The sequence below is a fragment of the Homo sapiens genome, chromosome 8 (genome assembly GCF_000001405.40).
Source record: "Homo sapiens chromosome 8, GRCh38.p14 Primary Assembly".
Lineage (NCBI taxonomy): Eukaryota > Metazoa > Chordata > Mammalia > Primates > Hominidae > Homo > Homo sapiens.
In genome coordinates, this window is record NC_000008.11 from 50,702,798 (window position 1) to 50,728,230 (window position 25,433).

At 35.0% G+C, this 25,433-nt stretch overlaps 1 protein-coding gene across 18 annotated transcripts in view; it reads left to right on the top strand.

Moving 5' to 3' along the window:
• Positions 1–25,433, top strand: part of SNTG1 (syntrophin gamma 1) — an 886,897-nt gene that overhangs the window by 793,002 nt on the left and 68,462 nt on the right. For 10 of the 18 annotated variants that reach the window (NR_135794.2, NM_001287813.3, XM_047421896.1 and 7 more), the window contains 2 exons: positions 1,803–1,955; positions 6,089–6,181. Coding sequence is in view for 13 of the 18 variants with exons in the window: in NM_001287813.3 (NP_001274742.1) it covers positions 1,803–1,955; positions 6,089–6,181 (246 nt within the window). In the remaining 5 variants the exon portion in view is untranslated. Of the gene's footprint in view, positions 1–1,776; positions 1,956–6,088; positions 6,384–25,433 lie in introns of those variants that run through there. The other 8 variants (NM_001321775.2, NM_001321776.2, NM_001321777.2 and 5 more) reach the window with 4 other exon arrangements.

The following is a 25,433-nucleotide window of genomic DNA, read 5'->3' on the forward strand; positions in this document are numbered from 1 at the left end:
TATTTCTCCTAGGTTACACACCTGTATAGCATATGACTGTATTGAATACTGTAGGCAAAAGTAACATAATGGTAAGTAGTTGTTTAAACACATCTACACATAGAAAAAGTAAAGTAAAAGTACAGTCTAAAAGATTTAAAAAAAAAATGATACACAGATACAGGGCACTTACCATGAATGGAGTTTGCAGAATGGTAGTTGCTCTGGGTGAGTCAATGAATGAGTGATGAGTAAATGTGAAGGCCTAGGATGTTACTATACAGCACTATAGACTTTATAAATACTGAGCACTTAGACTACACTACATTTATAAGAAGTATTTTTTTCTGCAATAATAAACTAAGCTTAGCTTACTGTAACATTTTTTACTTTACAAAGTTAATTTTTTCAACTTTGGCCTTTTTTGTAGAAGTGCTTAGCTTAAAACACAAACACATTATGTAGCTGTACAAAATTATTCTATATCCTTATTCTCTACATTTTTTTTCTACTTTTAAATTTACAAATTACTTTTTTATTTTTGGCTTTTTAAAATTTTTATAAAAAATAAGACAGAAACACACACATTAACCTTGGCCTGCATATAGTCAGGATGAGTTCCATCATCACATCTTGTCCCACTGGAAGGTCTTCAGGGGCAATAACACGCATGGAGCTGTCATCTCTTATGATAATGATGCCGTCTTCTGGATACCTTCTGAAGGAACTGCTTGAGCCTGTTTTATAGTTAACTATATTTTTAATAAATAGAAGGAGTACACTAAAAAAATAGGAGTACAGTAAATACAGTAATATTTACTGTATTACTATAATACAGTAAATACATAAACCAGTAACATATTCTTTCTTATCATCATTATTATTATGTAGCATACATCATAATCGTATGTGCTAGACTTACACAGCTGTCAGCACAGCAGGTTTGTTTACACCAGCATGACCACAAACACAAGAGTAATGCATTGCTCTATGACATTACAACGGCTATGACATTGCTAGGGGATAGGAATTTTTCAGCTCCCTTATAACCTTATAGGATCACCGTCGCATATGCAGTTCATCATTAACCCAAACATCCTTATGCGGCACATGACTGTATTTAAAATGCTATATCTGACATGTTGCATTGGGTTACTCTGTTTCATAAATTATTTGCTTCACTTTTTTTTCTCATGTTAATGTCTCTTAAATTGGAATATATGTAAATTTGTGAACACTTCAGTTGAAAACTTCTGGTAAGACCAAGAAATTGCCAGCATCAAAGTCGTTTTTTTGATACAATGAAATACAGTTACACAAGTAAGGTAAATAATGCGTTTTTTTTTAAGCAATATTATTGCTGTAGACAAATTAGACTCATTTTCTTTTTCATTTCTCATGGAGAAGAATATTTTGGTTTGCTTATAAAGTTCCTTAAAATTTACAAACATGTTCACAAGCATTATTTAATTTCAACATCATAACAGTTATGTAAGGAAGGGAAGAGATAGTGTGTCACCCCTTTGTAGAGTAATAAACCAAGTCTTGTATGTTAAATGCTTTGGTGGTTATATTGTTAGTAAGAGATGAAGCCAGAAACCCTAACTTCTATTTTATGGACATGCTTCAGTGTAAAGACAGAGAAGTCATGTGTTGGGGCTTTGAAGCCCGGAGTTCTGGTATAATGTCTAATGAAGACTTGGTGAATTCGCAGAGTGTTGTCTTTTTACCTGTGGCTTCTGCACCTTGGTCCAGTCAGGAATGGCCAGGTTAGCAATGTGAAGTGATGTGTGCCAGCCTGTGTAACTCCAGGTTTTCACCAGGACAGTGACCTGCTGGACCGACGGAAACAGTGCTTCACCGTGCAGTCTGAGTCTGGGGAGGACCTGTACTTCTCAGTGGAGCTGGAAAGTGACCTCGCCCAGTGGGAAAGAGCCTTCCAGACAGCAACCTTTCTAGAAGTAGAACGGATACAGGTGAGAGTCTGTGGGACTGCAGGATGTGTGGCTCCCTCAGATGCATGACCACTTCCCTAGAGTTCTAATATCATTCCAAAGTAGTGTAAAAATACAGTTCTGGGAATCTTGACCTCATATACATTCTATAATTAGCCATTTTTGTTTAGTGACTAGTAATACAGCTCTGAATAAAATTTTAATTTTTCCACGACTTGATCTTTCCAGGCTATTTCCTACTACTAATTAAAAATATATTTCTAATTTTAATTAGACATTACTCTGACTTAAATCTAATATAGAAAATACTCTGATTTAATGAATTGTTGACAAGGTCACTTCCTGTTCTCCAAATATGACCTCCTAATTTCCAGCCTGTTGGCGTCATTTACTCACAATGCTCTTTCCCTTTGCCTCCATCCTTCAAAGCCACACAGAGTTTTTGAGACTTTTTATCAAAGGTCATATCATCCAGGAACATGTCCCTGATTTCCAGTCCACCCTGCCTAATGCTTGCCAATACTCCTTCTACAACTATCCTGTTCAAACAACTCTTCTTCTCACTTTTGAACACAATATAATGTACTTTTCTGGTTTTTTTACAGATAAGAAAACACAAACTAATCAATTGTATTCATACTACTCATGAAAAGCAATTACATTTTTACATGAAGTCATTAACACATACAACAATAAAAATCATAAAAGTAATACATCTGATTAGAAATACAATATAGGAAATAGATTTTAAAATAGTGTAGTTTAGTGATAAAATTTATACTGTGTTTTCTACTTATTTATAGCAGCATCTATAAGATTCTTCTATTTATTTGTCTTTTTTTTTTAAGGATTGCACACACTCAGTCTGTTTTGTATTGCAGTGACATGTGCTTGTTATTCCCTGCACTAAATTATAGGTTGTTTGGAATTATCTTATCATGTGCCAACCAAAGTCCAGTGCATTTTGCACATCATGAGTATTCAACAGATATTTATTGAACTTTGTTTCTTAAGTGTGAAGTTATACACTAGATCAAACTTTATAGAGCCCTCAGCTTCTGTCTTCACAAGACCATTGAACAAAACAGCCTCCCAAAGTTGGTCCTGTGGCTGACCTCAAACAGACCTGTGGACAAATTAAAAGGTTTTCATGCGCTTGCCACATGCAAATAGATCCATAGAGCAAGGACCTAAATACACACATGGACACTTAATTTTGAAAACAAATGTGGTGAATAATCTAGCATTGACTATACTGGAATGTTTGCGTAAAACAGGATTGTTGGATACATATATTTTGAACATGTTGAACTGATTTCTATTTTCTGACTACAAACCTCTGTAATCAACACATCAAGTTGTACCAGTATGACATTACAATCAGGGGAAGAGGACAGAAAGAAAACTCCAATTATAGTTTTTTTAATTGTTCAGTTGACTCTTTTCAATAACTCTGCTTTTATCTTCATGCACCTAAAAAGTCTTAAATAGCCAAAAAATAGTTTCCACAATTAGAACCTCAATTCAAAAAAATAGATATTATATCAAAAATGGAAACAAAACTATATTAAATATGATTTTATTCTGAGTCAAGATCCAAGACCATTTAAAGCATTAAAATATAATTTAATGGAATGTAAGTTGACAGTTTTGTTATTGAAATTTATATTTTTAGGTTTCTAAAATTATTATTTCTCTACAATAGTCCACTTCGCTTGGAAACAGCTACATGGTAATTTTAACATTTTGGTTCCAATTTAGTATTTTATTTTAAGTCTCCTGATATTTATAAATTAGATAGAGATAAAATCTTTGAATCTGGGCTTTGTATTCTGTAAACTGATATTCAGTGAAATACATTGGCCTATTTCCTTACCCATTCACAATGCCAGTGTAAGATAAACATCAGAAGTGAAAGGTAAAACATTTAATGTCTTTTTAGCTTTTAGTTGTTCTACAGATTTTATAACTCTTATTTATTTACCACATAAGAAATCAATGAACACCTTTGTAGTATTACTTTCAAATTTAAAGTATGTGAATATATTTACATGAAGAACCTTAACACGTTTTTCTTCTATATTCTTAATTTATCACTTCCAGTAAAGTTGATAGGGAATTAAATAAAGAAGGAATATAAGTTCTATCGTAAAACAAGCAGAAAGAAAAAAATTAATGAATTGACTTTCAAAGTGTTCCTCATTTAAACTTCCTTAAAAAGGATAATTTATGTATTGATTTTTCTCTGTATAATTTGTTTTTAAGGAAACAAATTAAACAACAAATTAAATATTTCAATATTAAACATATTAACTATACGCATGATATGCTATTAATATTATAAATGATAGAACTTGAGTCTGTATATAAATTGAGACTTCAATGAGTCTCAATTTATAGCACATCTATTTGTTTCAATTTCATGATTATTGAGAAAATCTAATTTAATTTGTAATGCTGAACATAATAAAAAAATTTTAATACACTGCACCGAATTTATTTTCACCTGACATTTTCTTGTTTAAATGACAGTGCTTGAAATAAGCAAACCATTATGTCTAAATTAGGAGAAAATTTTATGGCCTTAAACATTCCTTAATGTTGATAATAGTTTTAATAAAGTGCTAATAGGTGGATGTAAGCATGCACAATGCTTATGTATTAAACAAATATAATTACTCCTGAAAATGGACTTTTGAGGCCCATTAAGTATGTTCTTTAGTCTGCTTTTTTTAAAAAAATGTAACTCTAAAAGAATAATTTTGCATTATTATAATTTTTCTATGCTAATAAGGCTTAAACACATGAATGTAATTTTTGGTGAAGGCAACTCGATGTATTTAGTCATGATTACATTCAGAATGGGATTCAATTAATGTAGTTTTATACACAGTACTATAAAAACAAATACAATGCAAGGATAGGTGTTAAAAATTTGCTTCAGATAAACTTCTCTTCCTTTTTTTCTTCTCTCTCTTTGTCTCTATTTCTCTCTCATCTTGTACATGGATCACAAATATTTTTCATGATTGGAATATCCCACTACGATTTAAAATTAAATGCAAATAAAACTGGCTTATAGATGTAACAATACATCATGTCGTATATAAACCTTAAGTTTTTATTTCATATTTGATTTATATCCTGTTTTCTTTATATTTCAGTATCCGTATTTACTATGAAAAATTAGGCTGGGCACAGTGGCTCACGCCTGTAATCCCAGCACTTTGGGAGGCCGAGGCGGGTGGATCACGAGGTCAGGCGTTCGAGACCAGCCCAGCCAAGATGGTGAAACCCCGTCTCTACTAAAAATACAAAAATTAGCCAGGCACGGTGGCGGGCGACTGTAATGCCAGTTACTCAGGAGACCGAGGGAAGAGCATTTATTGAACCCAACAGACAGAGGTTGCAGTGAGCCGACACCGCACCACTACGCTCTAGCCTGGGCAACAGAGCAAGACTCTGTTTCAAAAAAAAAAACCCCAAACAAGAAAAATTATAATATTATCTGATCTCATTGTGAAAAGTAATTACTTGTTGATTTTTAAAGAATTATCTGTAGTTATAAACAAATAAATTGGAAAGTGGTAAATATCTGTAGGAATATCTCGTGCAATATCGAAGAACAGAGTAAGACTGTTAAGATCAAGATCTATTCTTTTGGCTTGGTTACTGAATCTGTATTTGTGTGCATGAGAATGTGGTTTAATAATATCCATGAAATTGATATCCTGAGAATTCAAGACAGTGCTATTTAACAATAGTTCTCTTTTAGTTTAATGAAAATGGTTGGCTACAGTAAATAACAACTTAACATAAACTTGCCTACACCTAAAACTTTTTATATTATATACCACCTTTATTGTCAACACAGCAAAGACAGACAGTGTAGCACAATGTACAGACAAAACTAGAGGGAGCAGGATTGGAAACTCGGCGGGGCATACACCTTGGCAAGTTAAATAAAACCCAACACTCTCAGCTTCTGTTTCATTAACATTAAAATGTTGATAATACTCCCTTCTTTATACAATTATTGTTAATATTAAATTAGATATTGTATGAAGTACTTATTGCAGAAGCTGTAACATAGTTCATAATATTGATATTGCATCAATAACATGAAAAGTAACAATACTTTCTGTTCTACCTAGTGCAAGACCTATGCATGTGTGCTAGAAAGTCATCTAATGGGACTCACAATTGATTTCAGCACAGGATTTATCTGCTTTGATGCTGCAACAAAGGTAATGTGTTCAGGTCAGCTCTGAGAAATATGCTGCAAACATTCTAATTGAAGAATGATTTAAATGCCTCATAACTCCTTTCAGCATTTTAATTGTAATCGTGTCAAATTTAAGATCTTCGTTTTTGTTAATGGAAGATAAATTATGCTTCGATCTGAAAAAAAGTTTGAATTTTTAATAAAACATATGTAGTACCACAAAACTATAACTATGTGAAAGTATTTATTTATAAGTCTATCTATGTATGTATCTATCTATCAATCATTTCCCTGTTTTTTAAAGATATGACTTTATAATTGAAGGGACATTTTCTTCCCCAAAAAGCAGTTTTTAAAAAACATGTTTCTTTATACTTTACCTGCATCAACTTCTGCAATACAAAAAGAAAGAAAACATGTTGTTTTTTTAAAAAAAATTATAGCTGACATGTTAGAATTATTGAATGGTGAAAATTTAAAGTTTAGTTTCTAGCCAGGGAGTAGGACTTTTATAAACACTTGACTTAATAAGGATTATGCACTATGAGGTGCTCTTTTCCCAAAGTGTACATCTCTGGGAGTGATGCACATTGAATGACAGAGGGTGCCTACTCAGCCAGTCATACCTAAAAAAATCCAATTTTGATTATTATGGAATGACAAATGACAAAGCCAAAGCATTGCACATTATTATCATTATTTTTAATTGGAAGCGATCTTAAAGCTCAACTGATCCCCATTCAACTGCTAATCTCCTTCTAGTCACTGCTACAGTTTGTGACTTGGAACTGTTGTCCCCATGGAAGACATCCTCTTCCCTCTCATTGAGGATCTCAGTTCCTTAGATCCATTCCATTTCCTCCTTCATCAAAGTATGGCTTGGGTATAAATTGATTTGTTCCTTCTCACTAATTTTAAGGATTCATGAGTAATCCTTTACCAGAACACACATATTTTATCTAGAAATTAAGTTTTGTGTAGGATTTTCTAAAGCAAATGGCAACAAAATAAAACAGTGATACGAATGTGTAAGAAAGATGGAGTGTAGGAGGCAGTGGGGGTTCTTGAGTTGGGAAAGATGAATGTCTAATGGTGGGATCCAGGTAGGATGCCGCCCTGTGTTCATTCACCTTGTGAATCTTCATGACTCAGCAGTTGGCATTGTCCTGCAAAATCTCACATTACTTAAACATATAGTTATTTTTATTTTAACATGGTAAAATTAGACAGCACACATTTGCTGGTCAGATTTGGCCATCTAATGTGTTGCCTTCACATCATGACAAAGGAATACTTTGTGAATAAGGAATTTTAAATGCCAATGACTCTTGAAAACTTTCAAATGAGGCTGCCATAAACTATTCCTATTACTAAAGTTTTTTTTATTAAAATGTTCATCAAATCAAGATAGGCTCCTGAGTATTAAATTAATTTGATAAATTAATTGAATTATTAAATTATCGATTAAATGAGTAATAAGTTAATTTTATAAATAAATTTAGAAACAAATTTCACTAACTAGAAAAGTCAAAGTCTGATTTTAAAAAGAAAACGCTATTGCCAGAATTGTCACCAAACTCTAGTACACGAATGTATAAGAATCTTACATTAGCGAATGAGAAAAATAAAATTCACATGAATATATTTCTGAGTATGCGAATCTATTCTGAGTTTATTTTAAAGCTAGCATAATACAGACCTATGTCAGTGTCCTGTTGGCTCTGTATAATAAGGGAGAAAATCATGACACCAATGTCCTATCTGACATTCCTGTCTACTTCTGCTGGGTGTTCTGGGAACGAGTGCGTAGTCAGGAGTGTCTAAGTGAATGATTATGATGCCATCCAGAGAAAACAGTTTAGTAGGAAATGAGAATTTAATCAGTCCAAGCTTGATACTCAAGGAAAGCACCAGAGGCCTTCAGGAATAGTAGTCACTGTTCTATTTTCTGATTCTTTCATTGGAAGCATCTAACTTCAAGGTAATCTCAGAATTGGGAAAGGCTAAAAGGAATCTACACATTAATCAAGAAGGTTATATTATCCATCACTGATTATACTTGGAGAATGAAAGTAGGAGCTATTAATAGTTATGTCAGACATAAGGAGGAGGACAAGCATAAATGGAGATTCCTGGGCAACCCACTGAGCTGGGCTGACTGCAAGAAACTTGCACCCCTTCATCAGATGAGGCTGGAAGTTATTTTTAAATATGATAAAAAGGTAATTGTTACATACAAATCAAAACATGCTTTGTCTAATGTTTTATTAAAATAAATAATATCTAGTTATTTTCTATCTATTTTTTCTAAGTAATATGAATGTGAAAAATATCTTTAAGACTATATGTCCAAGAGTTTTTGAATGTTTGGATTCAGGAGAGTTTACCCTTTAGCTGAACATGCTTTGTCCTTCTGCACTTCATCTTGATCAAGTCCTCCAACTTTGAAGTTACTACAGAAGCAAACCAAAGGTCTTGAAATAAAGAAGAGATTCCAGGAAAGGGGTGGACTCTATTCTGGGTCATTATTTGAGCTCCATATAAAGCAAATAGTGTATTCTTAATACATCAGTGAAGGAAAGAATTGCTGCATCTCTCTTATTGCAGGGAATGAGAGTCGGCATGATTTTAGATTACACTGGTATGCTAAACGTTTGGATATAGAGGGATGTCTGGGAATGTCGAGCTAATTCTCATTACTTACCACCTGTGCTTGGAAGTTCCCAGAGTAAACGATTACCCTTGACTTGCCAGAGCATAAGACGTATTAAATAGCATTCTGTTCCCTATACTTACATTTACATTAGTAGCATATCAAGAGGTGATACATTCTTCAGTTCCCTTACTGTTGCTGAGTGATTCCCTCCCTAATTCATTACTGTACAGCTCAGCTTGTTCTTTGTAATTCTCTTCCTTATTAAAATGTAGCATTTTCACTGTTAGAGAAGGGTATTATTATTATTATGTCAAAGTATAATGTTAACCATACTTAAATAATTTACATAGCTAAAAGCATAATCTTGTTGCCATTATATTCTTTTAAAAATGTATATGTGCATTAATTAATTTTATATAGTGATAGAGTTCCTAGTTAAACAGAAACCTCATCAGTGGCATCTACAAAACACTCATTTAATTTGTGAATAAATCTTCACTGAATGCCTGCTGTCTCTTGAGAGACATGGGAGGGCATACACATCAGTCTTCACAGACGTTTCCTTGAAGTGGAGACAAGGAGGATGAAACTATCCAGACAGATATCTGTAAGTGAGGATGGACATGGAATTTGAGGGAAGAGGAGATGAGAAATCATGTCTGTGGGTATCTAAGAGCCAGATTTGAAAAAAGGTCCAGTTAAGAAATTGGAAGTGATTCTAAGAACAGAGGAATACCTTTAGGGTTTGAGACAAAGGAAAGAAATGATCAGATGTGTGTTTGAGAATCGAAAACTAGTGGAATAATGTACGACTGAAATTAAGACAATCTGGGCAAAACCCAGATTCCAAATGTGTTTTTAGATTCTTTTTCTTATTTTTTATTTTTTATTACACTTTAAGTTCTTGGATACATGTGCAAAACATGCATGTTTGTTACATAGGTATATATGTGCCATGGTGGTTTGCTGTATCCATCAACCCGTCATCTAGGTTTTAACCCCCACCTGCATTAGGTATTTGACCTAATGTTATCCCTCCCCATATCCCCACCCCTCAACAGGCCCCAGTGTGTGATGTTTCCCTCCTTGTGTCTACCTGTTCTCATTGTTCAACTCCCACTTATGAGCAAGAACATGTGTTGTTTGGTTTTCTGTTCCTGTCTTAGTTTGCTGGGAATGATGGTTTTCAGCTTCATCCATGTCCCCGCAAAGGACATGAACTCATCCTTTTTTATGGCTGCATATACTCCATGGTGTATATGTGCCACATTTTCTTGATCCAGTCTATCATTGATGGGCGTCTAGTTTGGTTCCAAGTCTTTGCTATTGTAAATAGTGCTGCAATAAACATACGTGTGCATGTGTCTTTATAGGAGAATTTATAATCCTTTGGGTATATACCCAGTAATGGGATTGCTGGGTCAGATGGTATTTCTGGTTCTAGGTCCTTGAGGAATCACCACACTGTCTTCCACAATGGTTGAACTAATTTACACTCCCCACCAACAGTATAAAAGTATTCCTATTTCTCCACATCCTCGCCAGCATCTGTTGTTTCCTGACTTTTCAATGATCCCCATTCTAACTGGTGTGACATGGTATCACGTTGTGGTTTTGATTTGTATTTCTCTGATGACCAGTGATGATGAGCTTTTTTTCATATGTTTGTTGCCTACATAAATGTCTTCTTTTGAGAAGTGTCTGTTCATATCCTTCATCCACTTTTTGATGGGGTTGTTTGTTTTTTTCTCTCAAATTTGTTTAAGTTCCTTGTAGATTCTGGATATTAGATCTTTCTCAGATGGATAGATTACAAAAATTTTCTCCCATTCTATAGGTTGCCTGTTCACTCTGATGATAGTTTCTTTTGCTGTGCAGAAGCTCTTTAGTTTAATGAGATCCCATTTGTCAAGCTTGGCTTTTGTTGTAATTGCTTTTGGTGTTTTAGTCATGAAGTCTTTGCCCATGTCTGCGTCCTGGATGGAATTGCCTAGGTTTTCTTCTAGAGTTTTTATGGTTTTCAGTCTTATATTTAAGTCTTACGTTTAAGTCTTTAATCCATCTTGAGTTAATTTTTATATAAGGTATAAGGAAGGGGTCCAGTTTCAGTTTCATGCATATGGCTAGCCAGTTTTCCCAGCACCATATATTAAATAGGGAATCCTGGCTGGGTGTGGTGGCTCACATCTGTAATTCCAGCACTTTGGAAGGCCAGGGCGGGCGGAACATGAGGTCAAGAGTTTAAGACCAGCATGACCAACATAATGAAACCTTGCCTCTACTAAAAATACAAAAAATTAGCTGGATGTGGTGGCAGGCACCTGTAATCCCAGCTACTCAGGAGGCTGAGGCAGGAGAATTGCTTGAACCCAGGAGACAGAGGTTGCCATGAGTGGACATCGCACCACTGCACTCCAGCCTGGGTGACAGTGTGAGACTCCATTTCAAAAAAAAAAAAAAAAAAAGGTGGGGGGAGGGAATCCTTTTCTTATTGCTTGTTTTTGTCAGATTTGTCAAAGATCAAATGACTGTAGATGTGTGGTGTTATTTCTGATCCCTCTGTTCTCTTCCATTGGTCTATAAATCTGTTTTGGTACCAGTAACCATGCTGACTTGGTTACTGTAGCCTAGTAGTATAGTTTGAAGTCAGGTAGCACGATGCCTCCAGCTTTGTTCTTTTTGGTTAGGATTGTCTTGGCTATATGGGCTCTTTTTTGGTTCCCTATGAAATTTGACCTCTTCAAGGAGAACTACAAACTGCTGCTCAAGGAAATAAGAGAGGACACAAACAAATGAAAAAAAAAAATTCCATGTTCATGGATAGGAAGAATCAATATCATGAAAATGGCCATAAGGTCCAAAGTGATTTATAGATTCATTGCTATTCCCATCAAGCTACCCTTGACTTTCTTCACAGAATCAGATTTCAGATTTTTGAAATCTGTCCTCCACTGGGCATTTGCCACTCTATCACATTCCTGAGAAAAAAATACATGCATGGATGACAAAGTCAAAGAATAACACTATGAATTGAGGGAGGAAAATGATCAGAGTGTAACCTGAGAACAAAGAGACATCAGTACAATTGAAAGTTAACGTTCCAGGAGGTGGGTGTGGAGAGGAAAGCTGGAGAAACAGATTGGGCCACATGATCAAGGTCCAGCACAGGCTCAACCACAATCTAATTTACACAGTGGAAAGACCATTCTAGCTGAGGTACAGCTTGCATCAAGCAGGTGGGGGCAATACTTAATGGGTGCTTATGTTTTCCCTCAATGACTCATTATAGAATAATTTTGAACTTTGGTTTTGTAAAAACCAAAACCAAAAACAACAACAAAAACAAAAACCGTAAAAGGTAGATACTTGTTATGGGCACCTCCATTTTATGTTTTTGTTTTCGCTTTACAAAATTCCATGATTCTAAAAAAGTTTGAAAGTTATTCTTTATATAATAAGTATGGGCGTCCAACAAATAACACCTGAGTGTTAGTAGTTAAAATAAGAATGAAGGCATTGGAATCCCACACCTGAGACCTAGCATTTACTCCTCCTGCTGCAACTCGGGAGTCACAGGGCTGCACGGGATGTCACTGTAGCACAAAGAATATTCATACTATGTAAATATCCATTGTGATTATTAGAACATCATAAATTTGACTCTTAAACATGGGTAAGAGTAAAAGACAGCATTACTCATATCATTGCTGGTCTCTAGAATACTAGGTCCCCCAAATTGTTATAGTCTGATTGCTTTTATTATTATTTAATGTTTTAATAGTTGAAATTGAGAATGGCTATGATAGAATACTTATAAAGGCTTCTTTACTTCAATTTATTTAAGAGCCAGTACTGACACATAGCTTGTTAAAAACATTTTTTGGAAATCAAGATTGGTTAACAGATCTATGAAGATAATAAATATGAAGTAAAAGGAAACAGTCGTAAGAATGAGCTCTATCACAGGTTATAAGCTACTGTATACTATTATATAATGATTTTATGGTTTATTTTCTCTTTATCTCCTTTATTAGCCTTAATTGAATATACATTAAAAGCATTGTTATGGAGGATGTTTGTTAAAACCCACTCACATGTATATTGACCTTCATTTTGCAAACTTACATTCTGAGAATTAAGAGGCAATCAACGTAATCTTAGCTGAAATCACTTCATTCTGGTTTTTCATATTTTTTCTACAAAATTAGAGGACTTAATTATTTTCCAAAATAATTATGATTTACAATTAAATTCACTGTTAACACATTAACATTTTAAGTTCATGAAATACCTTAATCTTTCTAATCCACTTAATCCTTTAAATCGACACTGATTTCTAGAATCTTTCAAGGTAAAATTTGAATTGAAGTTAATATGGCCCTTTTAATTTTTAAAAATCTTTGATATGGCTTTGATAAACTGAAGGAGCTCTGAGCTACTGTTTCTCCCAAAGGTGTATGACCCTCATGTACACACATGTGCACACATACACACACTTTATTACACATCTTTAGGCTTTTTATATAAAGCATTTATATGATCATAATATGAATTCCATAGCTTAAACTTCTCAACATAGAATTAACCTTTTATTTCTTAAATTTTATGTTATTATTCCATAATCTTTCAATTATTTCACATCAAAGACAGTTACTAAAAATATTAAAAAAATTGAAACATCAAAATGAATTCTTTCTTGAAATGTCTCCTGTGTAAGTAGAAATCTTCACTATACAAGTTATAATATAGTTCTGACAATATTCACATAAATCTTAGCATTTTAAAATTATATATATATTTTTTCTTTCCAATTGTGTTACAGCTCAACAATACAAAGAGCTGTTTGATGTAATTTTTATGTTCTTCTTCAGATAAATTATTTCTTCTTTGCTTTTAGGGAAATGAAGAACATTGTATTTATTGCAAAACGAACTCAGACATTTAGGGAAACTCTCAGGTACTTGTTTCCTAATCTTCAAGTATTTCAAAGATAGCCCTAAAGTAAATATTCAAAAAAATTTAAACAAAAAAGTATTTTGAATGACATTCAAAAAAACCCAACTTTTCATGCAATATGTTATTGTGTAATATGAAAAATAAAATTCCCTGCCTTTCTTATTCTTTTTTTTTTTCTTTTTGAAACGGAGTCTCACACTGTCGCCCAGGCTGGAGTGCAGTGGCGCGATCTCAGCTCACTGCAAGCTCCACCTCCCGGGTTCACGCCATTCTCCTGCCTCAGCCTCCTGAGTAACTGGGACTACAGGGGCCCGCCACCATGCCCGGCTAATTTTTTTTTTGCATTTTTAGTGGAGACTAAGTTTCACCGTGTTAGCTAGGATGGACTCGATCTCCTGACCTCGTGATCCGCCTGCCTCAGCCTCCCAAAATGCTGGGATTACAGGCGTGAGCCACCGCGCCCAGCTCTTACTCATTTCTTGATATACAAGGACATTATAGAGCATTGTGAAAATTAACACATAATTCACTGCTATGTTTATAATTCAAATATAGAAAAAACAAAATCAAGAAAGATTCAAAAGGTCTTTGGCTAATATATACTTTTCATACCCTTAAATTTTATGTCTTGTTTTCCTTCTCCTTAAATCTTTACTTTTTTATTCTTTCTTTCTGTGGCTTCTGATATATTTTATTTTTTTCTGGATTAATGTTTTTATGATTAAGAATAACTGACTTCAAACTTTTCTCATCGTATTTTAGTTTACCTTTGCTTAAATTATCATTTTTGATTTCCATAAAAGTTTTGTAACTCAAAGTATTATCCTTCAAACCTGCATGAATTGAATGGGAATGATATAACTTTGCTTTTCCTTACAGCGTTATTCTAAAATTAAATGAGATAGCATGTTAAAAATAATAAACTGTAAAACATAAGGTAGAGATTCTGAAACATCTGAGCATTATTTCCAGCTAGCCCATATTTCAATAGATCTTGTCTCAACCACAACATATCCTTTCATCTATAACTAGAATTTTATCATGCTTTTTCTTTCTGTTTCAAATTCCTCAGAACACATCAGGGAGTTGCTTCTGCAAATCATACAGACACAGTGAGCCTCATTTTCTTCATCTCTAAAATGGATATCTTAATAACACTTTTCTCCCAGGCTTATGGTAAAGTGTAAGCAAGAAAATGTGTGTGAAGTGTTTTGCACAGTGAGACTTGCATGATGAACCCTTAGAAAGAGATGAACATTTCTGCCCCTCACACACTGTGGGATAGTCCCACCCACTGCAGTACATGAGTACCAGCGACCCTTTGCTACTGTGCTACCATCCTCAAGATGTCGAAGGGGCACTGTGTTTTCTGTAAGTCTTGATCAACCAGTCAGCAGAGTTAATGTCTGTTACATTTCAGTCCTTAGGGTTTGTGCTTTTGGAGGTCTCTGTCCTTTTAGCCCAATGAAGATTGATGTTGAACAAGTAGTCGTGAGTTTAAATGGTTCTTAGCAAAGAGAGTTCAGGATAACCTGGAAGCTGCAAACTAGATTAATGGGCCATTAGCAATAGTTGGAAAAAAATACATTTCACTTGAGAATTTGTAGGTCCTGGGTGTCTAAGTAGGCACACGGTGAAGGAAGATTGAAAGGCAAGTGTGAAATCCCTGAGACTTGACAGAACACTGACAGAGGAGGAGGAAAATTAGGGGTTGGGAAGGGCACACAAAAGTAAAATAGTCAGGCACCAAATCTGAGGAACTTTGGACTTCATGTTGAAGAGTTGGCACTTACATCAGCAGTGGCCCAAGTTTGCCATGTAACGCATAATGACTATGCATCACTGCCTTACGAAAGTAAACATTTGTTTCTCGTGCTTCTGTGGGATTCAGAAGATTGATCTGGACAGGCTAATTTATACGGCTGCAGTTCGGATGGTTCTCTCGAACATCCTCTGATTGTTCCTTATTCTTCTCTAAGAATGAGGAGGTTAGCCCAGGCATGTCCTTTTCTTGTAAAGGGCAAAGGGAGAAGAGAGAAAGCCCTAATGCGCAATTCTATTTTAGTCTCTGTATTGGGAACAACTGCAAAATCCCACTGTCAGTCAAAGCATGTCATGTGGTTGAGGCCACTATCAAGTGGGAGGGCAGATCAGCCCGGTCCATAGAATTTGCATCAATAAAGTTCATAATTAAATTCCAGAAGTCATATTAGTAAATGTGAAGAATAGTGTGGCCTCAAAAATAAAACTATACAGATATTTATTAATTTGTCAGTTATTTTATTTTATAAAGTGCTTAATCTCTGTCAGTGGGCCAGCCTGCAGACAACCTTGAGGAGAACAGAGACAGTGGTTGTTTCTTAGATTGCAGAATGCATTTACTTAGATGTACATCTCTGAGGATACTCATTTGTTTTTCTCTTTAGAATGTTTACTATCCATTGAACTGGCAACTGTGTGTTCATATGTTAAAAAGAAATAAATAGAAGAGTTTATTCCTACAGAAAATTGATAATACAAATTATTAGTGTGATTGAATTTTATCATGTTTGCAGAAAAAAGCAACAATAACAAGTTAAACAAAAACAAAAATAACCTTTGCCATGATTTGAATGAATGTGTTCCTTCAAAATTCATACATTAGAACCTAATACCTCATGTGATAGCATTAGGAGGAGAGCCTTTCGGGAGGTGATTAAGTCATGTGGCTCTGTCCTCATGAGTGGAATTAGTGCCCTTATAAAAGAAGTTGAAGTGGTGCCCTAGTCCTTTTTGCCCTTCCTCCTTCTGCCACGGGAGAAGGCAGCAACAAGGCACTATTTTCGAAGCAGAGAATGACCTTTCACCAGACACCAAATCTGCCAGCACCTTGATCTTGGACTTCCAGTCTCCAGAACTGTAAGAAATACATTTCTATTGTTTCTATGTTATTCAGTCCTGGATATTTTGTTATAGCAGGAGGAACAGCCTAACATGCTCTTAGAATCCAAGAAATCTGTACCAACAAAACAAAGTTTTTTGCTATTTTCATCACACAGATGGCATGTAAACTTTCTGAAAATAAAATCTGTAGGTTAAGAATAACAAACAGCATACCATGACCAGTAGTATGTGGAAATGTGCTGGTGCTTTCTTTACCACATGAATTTGGGGCATTCTTTTGAAAAATTTTACATGGCTATGATTAAAATAAATATTGTAATACATCAACTTACCAGATTGATATCATTAAGGTATTATAAAATTAATCTATAATGTTTGAGTTTTAGAAAAATTTTAATAGAAAAAGATTAACTTTTCTCCTTAATAGATTTCAAATAAATTCTCAAAGTGAAGACCTGTATACTCCTCTGAATTTTTTAATATAGTTGATGAAATATATTTTTTTTATGTGAAGTTAATTTGAAGGGAATAAATTTAGATGAAATACATTTGAGGGAGAAGTTCTGAGCTTGATTAGACAATTTAGTTCAATCTTTAATTTAGGCAACTGGCCCAATGATAATGCATTCCTGTTCTATTATGTCCAGTTCAAACATGCATGATCTCTAAGACTCCATAATAACGACATTTCAAAAGTGTGTTCAACATTGAGCTTGCTGTCCATTTTAGTCTCACACCTTTGTATTCCCATCTCAACTATCTAAATAAATCCAGATTTAATTCTATCCTCTTGCCTTATCCTTACCCTTGCCATTTAGCCTTTTAATAACTTTCTCTAAACAAATCTAAAAGGTGTTCCCTCTTTTCCATTTTCAATATTACTAACTTAGCTAACCTCTTCTCATTTGTATTACCACAATATCTTCCAAATAGGACTTGTCAATTTATTTATTGAAGACATTCTTATTATGCATCAATTATGCTACATGACTATTGCTACATACTAGGAGTATAACAACAGATGCAGTCCCTCCCCTCAAGAAGTCTACAGTCTAATGAAAAGGACAGATCTAGAATTGGGTAGGTACTTTCATGCAGTATGGAGAAAAGTCTAAGCATTATGAGGGCCTAGTTACAGACTCAAGAGGGATAATGCCAAATAGAAATAGGATTTGGTGGGACAGTTTGATCAATTGCTTAAACAGAAGATTCATCAAGACAATTTGCAAAGGATAAAAGGTATGTTTACGGTTATTGCTGGACACTCATGAGTCAAATATCAAATACCAGGTGATTTGTGATGTGAGAAGAGTATAAATAGATACTGCCTTCAAAGCATTATTGTTGTAATTTTTAACATGTTCTATAGAATAAGTTATAAGCTACATAAATCGTTCTTTCAAATGTTGTTGTTTTTGTTTTTTACCTATGTGGTAAAAAGCTACTTTTATTGCACATAAAATAGTTAACATAGGGTTTAGTTTACCTTTATATGTGAAAGTTGCTTCAGTTTCTTTAAACAGAAATTTTTCTCTAGGTCATGAATAATTGGACCTGAAAACAGTGAGCTGGTAAGGAAATGAATAAAGAATGTGCTGGGGGATTTTTAACCTTTTTTGTTCAACATGTAAGCCTTTCATTAGCATTAATACAACTTCACCTTCCATTTGTACATTATTAATGCATTACAGTTTTGAATGGTCTGCATCCAAGGAACACTTGATGTCATTTGAAAGTGAATTTATTCATTAACCTGTGTCCCTTAGTTGCAGCCAGCTTTGTATCCCTGTTTTCTGATGGAGCTAGCAGCCAGCTTTGTACCTGTATTGTAAGTGTCAAAAATAAAAAGTTAGGGCAAGCTTTGTTTCCTCTTCCCTTCCCACTGACATTCTCTAGGTTACTGGCATTTTCAAGCTTTGAGCCAATTTTACAATGGGCCTTACTCAAATGAATAGCTTATGGGAAACTTTTCACATATGGTGGAGACAAATTCTTAAAATAGCAGCATTATTATAAGAAGAAGTGATGACTCAGAGCATGCTATGAATAAATTGCTTTCCTGGGTTTAGTGTCTTATTCTAAATGGGACTCTAAGTCTTTCCTCTATTTTAAGAAAGAAGTCAGGCATTAGCAATAAGAGTTTATTTATAATCATGTTCAATAAATGAGTCTGATGTTTGGTTAGGGAAATCACTAAAAAGGTAGGTCAGAATAAAAGAAGAAATATATGTGGAAAATGACAGACTTAGTTGTGATTTCTACTTCTTAGCTATGAAATGTGGTGAACGTGTATGGTGCTTCCTTTATTGTATACTGGGAAATTGCAATAACTCTAGCTATTGCATAGCTCTTGCAGGGATCAGAGATAACATAGGAAAGGGCCCAGCACAGTGAATGCCCATTTTAATAAATAACAAAGATGTTGCTTCACTGAAAGAACAGCAGACTCTCAGAATGCATCACACACACTAAATGAAGTATTTTCAAATTACTTATAATCTGTGCTTGTGTTCAGCCATCAAATGATTCAGTGTCAGGAACAAATGATGGATTACATATTATATGCCTCATTCTCTTAATATGAAAAATTCTGCTTGATAAAATTTCAACATTTCATCTTCAATTGCACATGGATTAATCATTACTTATGATCACATTGTATGTATGTATATATATACATATATATGTATACATATGTGTATATATATATACGTATATGTGTGTGTGTACATATATATATTGAGGTGCAGTCTTGCTCTGTCACCCAGGCTGGAGTGCAGTGGTGCGATCTCAGCTCACTGCAACATCCACCTCCCAGGTTCAAGCAATTCTCCTGCCTCAGCCTCCCGAGTAGCTGGGACTACAGGTGTGTGCCACCACTCCCAGCTAATTTTTGTATTTTTAATAGAGACGGGGTTTTTACCATGTTGGCCAGGCTGATTCTGAACTCCTGACCTCAACTGATCCTCCCACCTCAGCCTCCCAGTGTGCTGGGATTACAGGCGTGAACCACCACACCTGGCCCACATTGTATAATTCAATGTGATTGCATTGAATCCAAGGTTCTGTAATGCTTACCTGTTTGCATGCATTCCTTCAAATAAGATTTATCTCTTATAGATAGTAGCTCATAGGCAAATTATTCTTCTGCAGAACGTATTTTTCTTTTATATTCTTTAATTAATTATTTAATCAGCCCTTAGATTGAAACAGTTTTACCACATACATGGCTTTTGCCATTGACAGTCTTCAATGATTCTGTTATAGTGAACTCCAGTAGTAAAAGTGCTGGGATTTGTTGTGTTGTTCTTTCTTCATCTTTACTTTCAGGTTTTGCGTATGGGAAATATTTAATTGTATTTTAAAATTCAAGAAAAATTATATGCTTATCATTTCATATAAATGTCCAAGGAATATTTTTAATGAAACACTGTTTTTGACTGTCAAAAACAAACAAGTTTTAATAAATCAATAGGTATCTTAAATCCATTAACACTATATGTAAATGTATTACATATTCTATTCTATAGTGCATATTTTATCACTTCTCAACTTGCATTTCATGGGAAAAAGAAAGTGCTTGCATAAACAATGTTAAATGATTTTCTTTTATGAAAATATCCTCAGACTATCGTGCTAATGAAGCTCACCAAACGTACGTGACCACATTTGACTTCCTTGTTCTGGAGGAGCAAGCAGGAGCTTCACAGGTCCATGGAAAGACATGGGAAAGTAAAAATCTGGTCTGTAATTACTTAATATAAAGGTTTTGGGTCAAATTCCAGGCTTTAAAATATTCAAAAATTTCATCATACATTGCTATTAGTTTTGTTCATTTATTTATTTCTTTTGCTCTCTCCTTTCGACTTGATCTCTACCAAGTTCAGCAAATTAAGACTATTACTAATGGCAGGAATTATTCAATCCAAATTCAAGGTCCTTTGACCAAAGTTCTCGAGAGAAGACAGAGACCATTGGGCTTGCACAGTCCAGAAAATATTACTGGCTGTTTTCACCATGCCTTCTCTAAAGTTGGGCATTTCATAGGCTTTTATAAGCTCTCGTTTTAGTATATGTTTCCCCCACTTCCCGATTACAGGCCTCCAATAACATGACAACCACATAACTACAGGGAAATGAAGTGATTTTTCTTCATTAAAATTGATTCTGTTTTAATATGTTTATTTTACAAAAGTTGGAATTATTGCACGTCCCCTGCATGCCAGTAACTCCATTAGGACCCAGGGCTTCAACAGTGGGTCAGTTAGACTGACTGGAAGCTCTCATTACAAGGAGAGGTGCACAGCAGGAGGGATTCATGGCAATGAGGCCTATGGAAAAAAAAAAGGAGAAAGGTATTGACAGAGAGGGGTTTCAGAAGGTCTTTTAGTAGTTTTGCAGGAAAAGACTCCCTAAGGCAGTAATATTTGTAGTGAGACCATAGCAAGAATGGAATAGCTATGAAATGAGTAGGAGTAAAAAGGTTTCAAAGAGAGGAAATGAGAAGTGTTAAATCAGAGGCATGAAAGGGCTTTGCTATTTGCTTTTTTCCAAGAACATAAGGAGGGCAGGGTGAGGAAGAGGGAGCGAGAGAATAAAAAAGATAATTCTGATTGTAGTGTAGAAAATAAATTCATGTTTACTTTATCAAAAGCTTTTATTCCATGGTGTTATTTGTATTTAACATTTGCTTTGTATTTTAAACAATCTTAGTTACATTTTTTATATTTGATATCAGAAACAGGAAGGGTCACTGGCTGTGGAAGATATCACAGATATAATATAGATAATCACAAACAAAGCAACAGAGGTGCCAAATGATTTTAAGTAAGGAATCTCTGTTTGGGAAAGGGGTGGGTGTCGGAGACATATTTAAATGTTTTCCTCTTATCTGAGTTCCGTATAGTTTTAGTTGAATATGTGGTCTCCTCGGGCTAATAATAAGTAATGTGGCCATGCAATTTGCTGCCCAAGATGTGATAATAAATAATTATTAGCTAACAAATTGGTTTCCTGGTATTGGTTCACCTGTAAGATTATTTTGTCAAGCATTATTTTTAAAAGACTGTTATCTCTAAAATATAAACATATACTAGGCACACTAAAGAGAAACTGAGAGATATTTCATTCTATTAATTATCTAATCATTAATAAGTAGACTAATCATTTTTGGTAGATTATTTTTGGTAGAGGATCACAGTTTGTTGAGATGCAATTATGAATGGCATGTTCACCAAAATCAATTCAGGTGCACTTCAGGTACATATGTTTTTTAATTTAGAAGAATTTGATCTTGCTACAACTCTGTGCTCTATTAATTGCATATATTCATATTATCAGTGTATAGTAAATAACATAACCAATGTTAAAGGTTTAGATGAATTTATGGTAGCATTCAAAATAATAGAGATAGTTTAATTTGATAGAAATAAATTTCTAAAACTTTTATTCTACAAATGGGATGGAAAAAACAGTTATTAGAGTTAACAGATTTTTTTAAATTTGAAGCATTAATAGAAAGAAGACATCATTTAATTATCTGTGGATTTATTCTACTAATGGAGACAAATAAATATCATTCGGCTCACTTTGATAAGAAAACTTCATATTCAAAATGAGTATATTTCATTTATATGGAGAATCGTTGGATCAAAATAAAAAGTTATGCATAAAGAATGATTTGTAAATATACCTTCTCCATCTAAATATATTAGATCAACTTATTTGGGCGACGTTTTGTTTTTAAAATAACTACTAATCCTGTATTTCAAGCATATGCTAATTTGTTCCATTTGGCTTTTATGCAATCAGTTATTCCCATGGTGAATGGGTGAACATTAAACAACATTTTGTGCAATTGCATACTTCTTATCAACTTTATGATATATTAGAATTCACTAGTCAATTTTTCATTTAATGCTCACCTTACTTTTTTAACTTAACTAAAGTTGAGTCTAAAACATCAAACTGTAAGATAAGTATATATAGTTCTATATTATAATCCAAAATAATATAAAAGTAATAAATATAGTCTTAATAATATAATAAACAACAAAACGTCTTTTACAAGCATTCAGGTTACTGCTTACAAACTCTACAGAATGGCCATTTATCCTCTTTCCTGTCCATATTTTAAGTACGTGACACCTCTAATTTCCTCTGTTTTTCACCGCCCCGTTGAAAGATTGCCTGATGCCAGAGGACAGGTTGCAGCAAGCAGGCTGTTACACCAACTGGCTCATGAGCAGAGGTGTTGAATACTTCCCCTGCAATAGACCTGAAGAAACAAGCTGCCTTTAGCACCTCATATCCAGATGCACTTAGTTTTATCAGCAAGTACCATGTCTATTGCATTTTTGCTAACCAGGAGAATATTCTGGTTTGATATAAATTTTGACCACCAAAAACAAAGCCTTGTGCCGATGCTGCTGAATTACAGAGGTGCATCTTCTCTACCCACGCTTCCTGAGTGTGACTGTAGGATTGGCAAGGCTCTTTAGTATTCCACACTTGAAAAAGAAATGAACTTCTACCTACTCTGTCTTCCCTCTCAGGTTATAACACAATAATACACATCTTCACATTTTATCCTTCTTCAGTGCCTAGTTGTGTACAGGTATGTGACATGTGGTATGTGTGTGTACAAATATAATTTCCATTTGGAGAGCTAACTTCCTAAACCCACATTAACATGTTATTAACCAGGAACTCCTCATTGCATTAAAATAGTGCACTGAAAGAGCTCATAACAAAGTCATTCATAATCTTCTCATCAATATCACTAATTTCTAAAAATTAATAAATAAAATATTTTATTACTGTTTATTACACAAGGTGCTATGGAGCAGTTAGTAAGGACACATATTTCAGCCAGTAGTGTGTTTTTGAAAAAGCTTCCCTAAGGAGTTATGATTTTCCTGGAGACTGAAACATAAAACGAGACATGAACTGGCCGAAGTTGGGGGAGCGCTCAAGTGGGGCCCCTCAGGCAGAGTGGGCAACAGGCAAGGTGGAAGGAATGAGCAAAAGCATCATGATTTGTGAATAATCAAGAGTTGCTTGGCTGGAACAGAGTACAGTTGAAAGTCAGTGGCAAAAATGAGATTAGAAATTTGAGGCTGGGCGCACTGGCTCACGCCTGTAATCCCAGCTCTTTGGGAGGCCGAGGCAGGTGGATCACAAGGTCAGGAGATCGAGACCAGCCTGGCTAACACAGTGAAACCCCGTCTCTACTAAAAATACAAAAAATTAGCAGGGTGTGGTGGCGGACGCCTGTAGTCCCAGCTACTGAGGAGGCTGAAGCGGGAGAAAGGCGTGAAACCAGGAGGTGGAGCTTGCAGTGAGCTAAGATTGCAACACTGCACTACAGCCCAGGCGACAGAGTGAGACTCTGTCTCAAAAAACAATAAAATAAAGTAAAATAAAATAAATAAATAAATAAAATTGAGCAAGGCTAAATCTTGAAGGATTTTGTGTGTCTTAACAAGGATTTAAATCTGATCATGATACTACCATTGAAAGATGTTATGTAGCAGAAATATGATTTAAGTTGAAAAAAGGGAAGGGAGTGGGCTTACATTATACAATGTGGAATGTCAAGAGTAGAGAAAATAAATTAATTTTGAATTTACTGTGAATACGCAAGAGAGAAAAGGTATCTAAACTATATTAGTGGTGTATAATGATAATGATGACATAGAGATTCATGAGGTGTGTGGGAATTAGAATTAACAGAATTAGAGGCAGGGAGTCTGATGGTAAAGTTGATTTTATTTTCAAATGTAATGCTTAGAAGATGGAGTAAAAGTGCTGACAATCCCTAAAATAAATTAAAGAAGAGAGTGGTTGAGGGGAAGATGAAAATTCACTTCAAATATATCAATTTTAATCTCTATACAAGCTGTCTTAGATTGGGTTCCGTTAAGAGTTTTCTTTGAGAGAGCTTTCAACAGATGATATTTCTAGATGCTGGGAGTCCAGCAGCCCTCCCAACAGATGTGAGCAGAGAACCACAATATCCACTGCAGTGCACATCTCCCATTCCACAGCCCCACTGGCTTTTTATGCTAAAGTGGGCCCATCCAGGTGCATTTTGGATTCTCACTGGCCCTGGATTCTCACTGGTCCTTCTGTAGAAAACAAGAGAAGGGTTAGTGAGATGATAAATAGCCCCTGCTGCTATGGCTGTTGTCAAGGCCATAACTGACAAGCATCATCCCCTCCTCCACTCCTCATTCTTGATTGGCCCTGTCATTACCATAACATCTGCTGCTCTGGGAAGTTTGCCTCCTGGGCTAACTCACACTGTCATCCCAAGAGCTGATCCTGTGGCTATGGATGCTGATTTATTCCCACTGACCATTAAAAGTGACAATGGCAGCATAAACATTTAGCAGAGTTATTGCATGCCAAATAAGTTCTTCTTCACCTTCCTCCTACCTCCTGATTGTGTTAAGGGACAATTATCCCTGCAGAAGGTGACTCCTTAAACTGTTTACTGATCTCTTGGTACAAAGTGTTTAGAAGCACCAGAAAGCACCGTGGCTTATGGCCTCCACTTGCACAGTACAGAGTTGTCAGCACAAGATGCTCACATTCCCCATTTGAGCAGCTGGGAAAGGTGATAGCTGCAACCTGTCCTAAATCCACCTCTTCGTTCTCTGACCCATGTAGTCTACCTACCTGCCAGGGACACAGAACTGTGTATTGGTCAGTGATTCCAGGTCTATTCCACCACACCTTGGGGGTGGTGTCCCCTTCTCATAGTATATCTCCTAGA